Raw genomic sequence first — 10,807 nt, forward strand, 5'->3', positions numbered from 1 at the left:
ACCACTATTGAATAGTGTTACTATATCCTTAGAGTTGTTTGTATAAACCATTCAGGGGTGAATTGTTCATTAAAGTGAATTGGGGTATGCGTTTACCACTTAATCTCTTAATGCTATCCCTCCAAAAGTAGATATGTGAGAGATGACTGTGGATAGGATAAAGGCTATATGAATTCTGAATTTAGAGTGTGAGTGAAAGTTCAATAACAGCTCAGAGCTGCTCTGGTTTGGACATGGACCAGCAAAAACAAACTGGGGACTACGTATCCACTACCCGTCAGCTACCTAGACTTGTTTATAAATTCAGGTACTGAGCACAGCACAGTATGGCTATCATAGAGGGAAAATTAAACTGAGTCACAAAATGCATTTTATAATAACACAGTAATGCATTTCATCCCTGGGTATAAATTGAAAATGTGCCTATTACAGAGTGTTTTAAAAATTCACTGGAATTATTGTTCTAGCATAGGTAAGTTTGAATAAAAAGAGTAAAATGAAATCAGTCTAGTCTTAAAATTGAACTTTTAAAACAAGAAAAATCATTACAACTACTAAGATTATTTTTAAAGGTATCACTTAATGACTTAATTACATCTTGCTATCATTATCTCTATTTTGTATACAATCCATTTCTGTATTTTACCATAACTGGGAAAATTAAGAATATACGTGATCTTTAACCAGATCAAAAACCTTCATATCCCATGCTGATTATTCAGCTGCCTCTGAATCCTGTATCTTCACGCTGCTCTCACGTGTGCTGCCTGATAAGTATATGTGAGGTTGTAAGTTATTCCTTACTCGCGGTTCCAGGTGCTCTTGTGGATTTTGACCTGGAGAGTCTTTTCTTAGGGCAGGGTCTTTCACATGGTCTACTTCTACTTTATTAGACCCATAATTAGGTGTTTAAGGCCCAGGAATGAAATTATTACTCAGCATTTACCATGCCTTCATCAGTTTCATTCACCAGAAGTTTCCAGTTGTGCAGTTTCACCGCTCTGCATGCCAACATCATCGCTTATTGAGCGTACAGGAACCAATGGGAGCCGTTAAACAGCCCCATGAGTAGGAAAATTTTTTTAAAGGGAAGAGCATCCAATGTTGTGAACATTTGATCTTCTTGCTAGAAGATCAAAATGAAAGGCTCAAAAATCCCAGGATTCAGTTTCTAAACATTTGGTTTTCAGCCTTAGACGACCCAATGAGGATGGGTTCCATTGCTTGTTAGACAAGTTCTGACAAAGGACAAGTTGTACTTTTTAGGTTTTCTTTAGAAGAAGGAGATATGAAGAAGCAAAAGAAGAATAAAGAACAACCCATTTTCATTTGCTTTTAGGAAACTCTGGTAAGCTCATGGCTCACATAGGATTTAAGTGTTTGATCCACATGTTCAGCTTCTCACTTTTCTCACCTCACTTGGATAGAAGGTATAGCCTGCCGTCTCCTTCAGACATGCACATAACTAACCCAGCCCACTAGATACTAGCCTTTGTGAAGACCTCCTGAAAGTGATTCTATGCTTGTATGACTGTTCATGGTTTAACAAGACTCACATGCCACATACTTCCTATTTCATGGCCAAAGCCTAATTCCTCTTTTTCTGTCCACACAGGCAATGCAGAATAGCTGATAATTATGCTTTGTGTCAAACCTCCCACTTCCTAAATAATTACAAATTTCTCTGTCCTTTTTTTTCCCACTAGACTAAATAATAGATATGTATAACCCTTTTTTATATAGCTTATTTTCTGCAGTTTACTTTTGTGTTCTAAGTCTTCTCCAAAATGTCTATATTGTTCATTAGTTAAGGATCCTTAGACTGTTTTCTGCTGAGGGAATGACTCATGAGTCGGTAAAGATGAGTGGAATTTCTTGCAGGTCTATGTGCTGCATTTCCATTCACATGCCCTGCTTTCAATTTGATTTTTGAAAACACTGCTGATAAGAAATCATAGTCATATTTATGTCCTGTGAGAAAATAAGGTTCTGCTATAAAGGTCCACTCCTGCCATCTTCTCACACAATCTGTCATGTACCATGTGGCACTTGTACCAAATCCATGGGTCTTTCTTTACACCAAATTCTGTAGTTTGTTTTTCCATGAAACACTTTTCCAATCCTATAAAATTTAGTTCTGCCTACGCCCTTACAATGTATTACTTGACACTGCAGCTGATGTCACCTGTACAGTCACTGAGCATGCTTCCTATTTCATCCAAAACAAACAAGTAAATGCAGAACGAACTCCTGTGAAGCCACTTTTGGTATCTTCTGCCATCTCCCAATGAGTCATGAGTAACTACATCTCTTCCAACCATTTTGCATCCATGTCAAGCAGACCATATTTTTAGTGCACCTACTTTTTGATAAATACATTATATGGCCTGGACCAAAACCTTAAAAAGAAAAGGGGGGCAAGTTGCATTACATGTTTTGTTTCTTTTTGTATTATGAGAGATTAGGAAGCCCAACTCAGCGATTCAAATGAAATTCTATGCAAAGAACGATTATAATTTGGGGGACAAAGTGACAAATACTTGGATGAAAAACAATTATGTAGAGAAGGGTCCAGGAGAATTTTATCATTCACATCTTTGCTTAAGGAGGTCCTTACCTAAGATATTGCAGTAGGCAGTCATTAAACCTACGTGGTTAGGAATATCTTTGATTCCATACCTTCTTTGCCAAATTGATTTCTTACAAAGCCATTCCTTCTTTATTTTACTACTCTGTTTAGAGGAAATCAAGAAACAGGAGAGAATAATGAAACAAAGCACAGAAGAAAACGTCAGTGATTTGTATTCACTGAATTCAATATTGTGTGTTACTTCTATTGCAAAAGAGAATGTGAATGGAAGAAAAAAGAGGAGAGAGGGAACTATTAATAGAGTAGATTACATTGAATTAATCTTATTTGTTTCTCTCAGGGAAGAAATAAGCATAGTGAAAAATCACACAATGGAAACCATCCCTTCCCCTGACCTGTTCCCAGTGTTAAGATAACAGAGGGAAGGAAGATCAATGCTCTGCCAGAGGTCCACAAACTAAGCTGACCACTTTCTTTTGAATGGTACATAAGCTGAGAATGGCTTTACATTTTTTAATGGTTGAAAAAATCAAAATAAAAATAATATTTCGTGACATTTGAAAATTAAATTACATAAGTTCACATTTCAGTGTCCATACATTAAGTCTTACTGAAACACAGCCTTGGCCAGGCCTGGTGGCTCACGCCTGTAATCCCAGCACTTTGGGAGGCCGAGGCGGGCAGATCACTAGAGGTCAAGAGTTCGAGACCAGCCTGGCCAACGTGTTGAAACCCCATCTCTACTAAAAATACAAAAATTTGCTGGGCATAATGGTGGGTGCCTGTAATATCAGCTACTTGGGAGGATGAGACAGACAGAATTGCTTGAACCCAGGAGGCAGAGGTTGGAGTAAGCCGAGATTGCACCACTGCACTCCAGCCTGGGCCACAGAGCAAGACTCCGTCTCAAAAAAAGAAAGAAAGAAGAAAGGAAGAAAGGAAGAGAAAGAAAGTGAGAGAGAGAAAGAAAGAAAAGAAAGAAAGAAAAAGAAAAGAGAGGGAGAAAGAAAGGAAAGAAAGAAAGAAGAAAGAAAGAAAGAAAGAAAGAAAGAAAGAAAGAAAGAAAGAAAGAAAGAAAGAAAAGAAAAGAAAGAAAGAAAGAAAGAAAGAAAGAAAGAAAGAAAAGAAAAGAAAGAAAGAAAGAAAGAAAGAAAAGGGGAAGGGGAAGGGGAAGGGAAGCCACGCTCATTCACTTAGGTATTCGCTGTGGCTACTTCCTACAAGAACTGATTTGAGTATCTGTGAGAGCAACAATGTGGTTCCCAAGCCTAAAGTATTTACTGTCTGGCCCTTTACAGGTAGAGTTTTCTGACACCAAGCAGAGTACAAAAATTCAATTTAATAAATAAATTTAAGAGGCAGAGAGAGATTTTAGTGACAATTAGAGCGAAGTGTGTTTTGTAATGATGGAACTGCTTTTGAACCCTGGTTACATTTTTAAAAGGTCAGGCCAGGCAGCACAGACACAATCCCCAGTGTTGCTGATGTCTGTGAGTGATCACTTTGGTGACAGTGAGGCATCAACAATCAGTTTGGCAATAGCAACATTATTTATTCTATATCTTCTTTTTCCTTCAAAGTGTTTTTTCTACATTATGAAAAACAATGGGAGGGAAGGCCAGTGTGACTATTAATAAGACTTGCACTAAGCATTTTGCATCTTGTCAAGCAGACCATATTTTTAGTGCATCTACTTTTTGATAAATACATTACATGGCCTGGACCAAAACCTTAAAAAAAAAAAAAAAGGGCAAGTTGCATTACATGTTTTTTTTCCTTTTTGTATTATGAGAGATTAGGAAGCCAGTTTTAATAAGGGATTTTTAGCAGTTTTAATAAGGAATTTTTCAAAATACTTAGCCTTATTTTTAAATTGTAAGTTAATTCCTTCATGTTTCTATGCTTAGTCAATAACAAATACACAAGAAAAAAGCCTCATAAACCATCATAACTGCATTGTAAGGAATATTCATACTGTAAGGGTGTATTAATTCCATTTCACGCTGCTGTGAAGAAATACCTGAGACTGGGTAATTTATAAAGGAAAGAGATTTAATTGACTCACAGTTCCACAGGGCTGAGGGGGCCTCAGGAAACTTACAATCATGGCAGAAGGGGAAGTAAATATGTCCTTCTTCACATGGTGGCAGGAAGGAGAAGTGCTGAACAAAAGGAGGAAAGCCCCTTGTAGAAGCATCAGATCTTGTGAGAACTCACTCACTATCACGAGAACAGTATGGAGGTCACCGCCCCCATGATTCAATTACCTCCTACCAGGTTCCTCCTTGCTAGGATTATGAGGACTATGGGAACTACCATTCAAGATGAGATTTGGGTGAGGACACAGCCAAACCATATCAAAAGGCAGTTGCCTAAGATGATGTGAAATCACCAGTGATTAAGACTTGATCCATCTTCAATTTTCAAAGCAGAAACCAGAAATCATTTTCCATTGAGCCACTCTGACTTTTCAAAAGACATTTGTCAGAAATCCAGTTTGCCCTGCTAACTCCCAAGTAGAAAAATCTAAGTTTAGGTCATGTAAGGATGTTTATACATTTGTACAATTGGAGGAATTAATAAAAAATCTAATTCCATTTTGATTAGATCAGTTCTCTGGGTGAGTGGAGATAGCTGTTCCAAGTCCATGGATCCGATTATGCTCCTGAAGGGATTAAAATCTTAGATACAGGAGAGATAAAGAGAGGGTTGCTAAAAGTGTGCAAAATTAAAGTTTGGAATCCTATCCGAGAACCCAAGTATGAATAATATTCTAGCACTCTACTAAAGGAAACAAACTTCTGTGCATTCTTTTGTCTCTAAAGATAGAAAGTATTTCTGAATTTGAAAGTAATCCAGCTTTTGGTATTCTTATAAAAACATTACAAAAATGATAGTAACAACTAACTGCATTTTTGTGGATCTGCTCATTTCAGACGAAAGTAGGCGGTACGAACCCTAATGGAGGCAGTTTTGAGGAGGTCCTCAGCTCCACGGCCCATGCCAGTGCCCAGAGCTTGGCAGGAGGCTCCCGGCGGACCAAGGAGGAGGAGCTGCAGTGCTAAGTCCAGCCAGCGTGCAGCTGCATCCAGAAACCGGCCACTACCCAGCCCATCTCTGCCTGTGCTTATCCAGATAAGAAGACCAAAATCCCGCTGGGAAAAACCCAGGCCTTGACATTGTTATTCAAATGGCCCCTCCAGAAAGTTTAATGATTTCCATTTGTATTTGTGTTGATGATGGACCACTTGACCATCACATTTCAGTATTCATAGATGACTGTCACATTTTAAAATGTTCCCACTTGAGCAGGTACACAACTGGTCATAATTCCTGTCTGTGTAATTCGATGTATATTTTTCCAAACATGTAGCTATTGTTTGCTTTGATTTTTGCTTGGCCTCCTTTATGATGTGCATGTCCTTGAAGGCTGAATGAACAGTCCCTTTCAGTTCAGCAGATCAACAGGATGGAGCTCTTCATGACTGTCTCCAGCAATAGGATGATTTACTATAAATTTCATCCAACTACTTGTGATCTCTCTCACCTACATCAATTATGTATGTTAATTTCAGCAATTAAAAGAATTGATTTTAATGACTTTGAATTCTTAATTTCTTTGTCTTAAAAGTTGCTAGTTATGATTTTACAGATGCAATTTTAAATCAACTTTTAGCCAGGTGCGGCGGCTCACACCTGTAATCCCAACTATTTTGGATGCCAAGGTGAGAGGATTGCTTGAGGCCAGGAGTTAAAGATCAGCCTGGGCAACACAGACCCTGTCTCTACAAAAAAAGAAAAAAATTAGCCAGACATAGTGTTGCTTGCCTGTAGTCCCAGCTACTCTAGAGGCTGAGGCAGGAGGATTGCATGAGCCTAGGAGTTCGAAACTGCAGTGAGCTATGATTGCACCACTGCACTACTCCAGCCTGGGTGACAGAGTGGGACACTGTCTCCAAAAATAGTAATAATAAGTAGTCAACTTTTACTGCTAATTTGGTGAACATGAGAGAGGATATGAAAATAAATATTACCTCAGCTATCCTAGGATGTTAAAATAATCTCCAATTTTAAAATTCTCTCCAATCTACATACAGTAGTAGTTAGTCAGATAAAGGATATCCAAAAAAGAGATAGCTAGAAAATGGGAGAAGCAGAGTTCTGCAACCCCTTTCAGTTTGTAAATTGTTCACATGTATGAAAATAACTGGTATTTATCAATCCACTCAGATTTCTGCACTAACTTTTATCTTATATATCATATGTATCTCTTTTCTTTTTCTAAATGGGAACATATATTTGTTATTAGGTGGCAGAGATATAGCCTTAAGATATATTTGTAAAATGCACACTGAATAGACATCCAACCTAAAAAAAATCACTATTTAAAAAGCCCATATAATATATACATATTTGTTAGCATGCTAATTGTTCATGTTTTGTGTTTATTAAATAGAAGTGATATATATGACATTTTGAAGTAAAGCACATCTGAAAAATTCTACTCAAATTAATGGAGCATGACAATCTGTGCAATCTGTACACCTAACTGAAAATCAAGGTGGTTCAGGACAACATCATCTCTGAGGCCTGGAATCTTAGCAGAGAGAATGGGGCTGTAAACTTGACCAGAGTGGACAAATGTAGACAAAGAAAGCTCACTAGCAGGGATGCTGGCATTCTCCCTTATTTGTGCTTCCAGCCTGTTGGTTGAAGTAGAGGCAGGAAACCAACCCTGCCCAGCTGGTTCTCAGGCCGTGCTGGCTCGCCCACCACAGCACACAAGTACTCAGTCTCTGTGCCCAATCTATAGCTGCCTGTTGAGTGTGAAGTGGCTAACTTGTGAAAACTCCCTGCCACCTTCTTTTTTTACCATATTCAGCACACCGCATTGTATTAGATAAAGTTATGGTACTTTAAACAAATATCTCCGTTCACCAACCAATTTCTGCACACCATAGTCTCAGCCTTATAATCTGAAAACACAATATTAGAATTGGATAGAAAAACAATCAAGAAAACTTGTGGTAATATCTTAAAGCTTCCAACACATTTTAGCTATTTATTTTATTCCATTCATCAAAATTCTGATTTCATTAGTTTGGTAAGAATCTTATGCACATCATCTCTATTCATCTAAAAGCTTTTCATTATTCACTCTGACCTAGAAGTGATATTCATAATGGCCATGGCATAAGTAGCATTTTTTATTTTTGTCATAAAATGTGTGTGAATAACTCAGATTAGATAAATCAAACACTTGTTGGTAGGTGGGCAGTCTTACCTAGTTTAGGCAGTGAGCCTACTCTTAGCTTCAGGAGCATCACTAAGAGCTGCCTGGTCCTCCCTCACCATGGGTGTGCAAGATCATCCTGATGGGACTGATTGCTGAGCTTCTCAATTACATCTAGTGAGGCTCAGTTCACAAGCAGTAGTTTAAAGTGTTTCACAAGTCCTAAAAAGTAATTGCACACAATGGACATAACCTTTTACTAACAAACCAAAATGACTTCAGGTCAACACCATGTGTGTATGAAAGGATACCTCCACAGAAAATGTACAGTTGACCCTTGAACAACAGGAGTTTGAACTGTGAGGGTCCACTTATGTGCAGATTTTCTTCTGCCTCTGGCACCCCTTGAAACAGTGATACCAACCTCTCCCCTTCTGCAGCCTACTCAACATGAAGACAATGAGGATAAAGACCTTTATCATCATCTGCTTCCACTTAATGAATAGTACATATATTATCTCTGTTGTTTTTCTTTTAACATTTTGTTTCCAGAGCTTACTTTATTGTAAGAATACCACATGTAATGCATATAACATAAAAATATGTGTTAATTGGCCATTTATGTTATCAACAAGGCTTATGGTCAACAGTAGCTGTTGGTAGTTAGGTTTAGGGGGTGTCCAAAGTTAGAATCAGATTTTTGTTTTATTTATTTATTTATTTTTTTGAGACTGAGTCTCACCCTGTTGCCCAGGTTGGAGTGCAGTGGTGCAATCTTGGCTCACTGCAACCTCTGCCTCCTGGGTTCAAGCAATTCTCTGCCTCAGCCTCCCGAGTAGCTGGGATTACAGGCACCTACCACCACGCCTGGCTAATTTTTGTATTTTTAGTAGAGACAGGATTTTACCATCTTGGCCAGGCTGGTCTTGAACTCCTGACCTTGTGATCCACCTGCCCTGGCCTCCCAAAGTGTTGGGATTACAGGCGTGAGCCACAACTCCCAACCTAGAATCGGATTTTTGACTGTGCAGGCCTAATCCCCGAGTGGCTCAGGCGTCAATTCTTTCAATTATCAAAAATTCTGATGCAATTGTGATTACAAAACAAACTAGCTTTTAAAAAAAGTAAGCCATTCTGAAATTTAACGATTTACCACATTTTAAACACAGTTGCTATGATGAACATATTTGTAAATTTACAGTGCTACTTTATCTCACAACTCACATCACATAAAGATTACAACTATTGGCTGGGCATGGTGGCTCATGCCTGTAATCCCAGAACTTTGGGAGGCCAAGGTGGGTGGATCAACTGAGGTCAGGAGTTCGAGACCAGCCTGGCCAACACGGTGAAACCCCGTCTTTACTAAAAATGCAAAAATTAGCTGTGCTTGATGGCACATCCCTGTAATCCCAGCTACTTGGGAGGCTGAGGTGGGAGAATCTCTCGAACCAGGGAGGCAGAGGCTGCAGTGAGCCGAGATCTTGCCACTGCCTTCCAGCCTGGGTGACAGAGAGATGAGACCCTGTCTCAAAAAAAGATTACAACTATTGGCAGGTCATTTTAGCAATGCAATCTGCATATCTTACTCTAAATTACACATTTTGTTAGAAATCTGTTCTTGAACCATAGCAAACAGAACAAAGTGCATGCTTTAGGATGTGTCTTCATGATATGCCATGCCGTTCACAGTGGCCAGTGTAGAGGGAACCCAGGGATCTACACGGCTCTTCTGTCACTGTTCATTGTTCCAAAATTACGTGTAAGCTTTAAAGTTGTTCAACATCAACCCCATCGTCCTCCTCTCACTTAGTATTCAATTTGAGTGGAAGTAGTGTGATAAAGGAAGATGGTGGTAAGGTTGAAAAGTGACTTAATATGAAATGTGAAACAACTTCTTCAAACCTAGCATTCAAATGTAATTTCAAACTATAACAATATTTGGCAAAATCTTATGGCTACTTTTGATAACTTCTAAGCATGGTAAAATTCTTTATGCTACATTTCTGCTTGACTTTCAGTTCACACCAGAGGGTATATTCATGTACACACACATTATATATATAATATATATAATACATATCCATCCATTATATATATATATAAATTAAAGCAAACCAAAAATGACAAAATCATGTCTTTCACAGAAATCATCCCATTTCACCTTTGAATGTGAAGACTGACAAATTGCTTAAATGAAAATGCTGAGTACAGAGATGCTTTTTTTTACAAAGCGCTTCATCAGTCATTTCCCCCAGAGCATGTATCACCACCACAAGGCTTTGAGGTGGATCAACATTTTTCAAATACAAGGGCATTGAGAATTATGTAATAGCTGGTAAAATACCAATCCATAAGGGGAAAACAGTGTAGGGAAAATGGCTGTGCTTTAGTCAGGAGTAAGCTGAGGTGGTGTTGCAAAACTGAATGGCCTTAGACATACTAACTGCTGCCCAAGGAGGCACCTGTATCCTTTTAGGAACACGATGTTGTACCTTTATCCCTGACAATTGGCAGAACATAACAGCAGTTCTGCAAGGGGTCTCATGGGAAATTAAGTTGGTTGAGAGCCTTATTGATGGCCCCCTGCAGAGACGGTGGGCATCCCTGGTCTCTGGCCTATGCTGGGCCCTAAAAGTCATAACTAGTATAGCTGGGATCCTAGTAGTGAGCTGTCGCTCTCTGTATTGTTGTGGGTTATGGATCCAGGGCTCTGCCCTATGGGCATGTATCCCTACCTGAAAGACTTCCCTTGGCCTAGGGGGTAGAGTGTAAGGTAAATCGTTGTGCTTTAGTCAGGAGTACGCCAAGGTGGCCTTCTGGTGCACCATGACTCAGAGGGTTTGGAGTGCAGGCACACAACTGTGCACATTATGTAACCCCGCCACATGAGGCACATTGTGACCACTCACATGAGCTTGTGCTTGGCTTGCAGCCACTATTGTCTGTAAAAGGTACAACTACCCAGCTGATGCTGTACATAT

At 39.0% G+C, this 10,807-nt stretch overlaps 1 protein-coding gene across 11 annotated transcripts in view, besides 2 other annotated features; it reads left to right on the forward strand.

Annotated features, from left to right (window-relative positions):
* TPD52L1 (TPD52 like 1) overlaps positions 1–7,100 on the forward strand; it is a 110,635-nt gene extending 103,535 nt beyond the window's left edge. For all 11 annotated transcript variants that reach the window (NM_001318903.2, NM_003287.4, NM_001003396.3 and 8 more), the window contains one exon: positions 5,527–7,100. In NM_001318903.2, coding sequence (NP_001305832.1) covers positions 5,527–5,655 — 129 coding nt within the window. In that variant the 3' untranslated portion in view covers positions 5,656–7,100. The remainder of the gene's footprint in view (positions 1–5,526) is intronic.
* Positions 5,088–5,601: an enhancer, noted in NCBI's record as "H3K4me1 hESC enhancer chr6:125583541-125584054 (GRCh37/hg19 assembly coordinates)". NCBI's record gives its function as "activates a minimal SCP1, AML or CMV promoter by ChIP-STARR-seq in primed H9 embryonic stem cells {active_cell/tissue: H9 hESC(primed)}" and the evidence as "EXISTENCE:reporter gene assay evidence [ECO:0000049][PMID:30033119]".
* Positions 5,602–6,115: an enhancer, noted in NCBI's record as "H3K4me1 hESC enhancer chr6:125584055-125584568 (GRCh37/hg19 assembly coordinates)". NCBI's record gives its function as "activates a minimal SCP1, AML or CMV promoter by ChIP-STARR-seq in primed H9 embryonic stem cells {active_cell/tissue: H9 hESC(primed)}" and the evidence as "EXISTENCE:reporter gene assay evidence [ECO:0000049][PMID:30033119]".

This window comes from Homo sapiens, chromosome 6, assembly GCF_000001405.40.
Source record: "Homo sapiens chromosome 6, GRCh38.p14 Primary Assembly".
NCBI classification, from domain to species: Eukaryota; Metazoa; Chordata; class Mammalia; order Primates; family Hominidae; genus Homo; species Homo sapiens.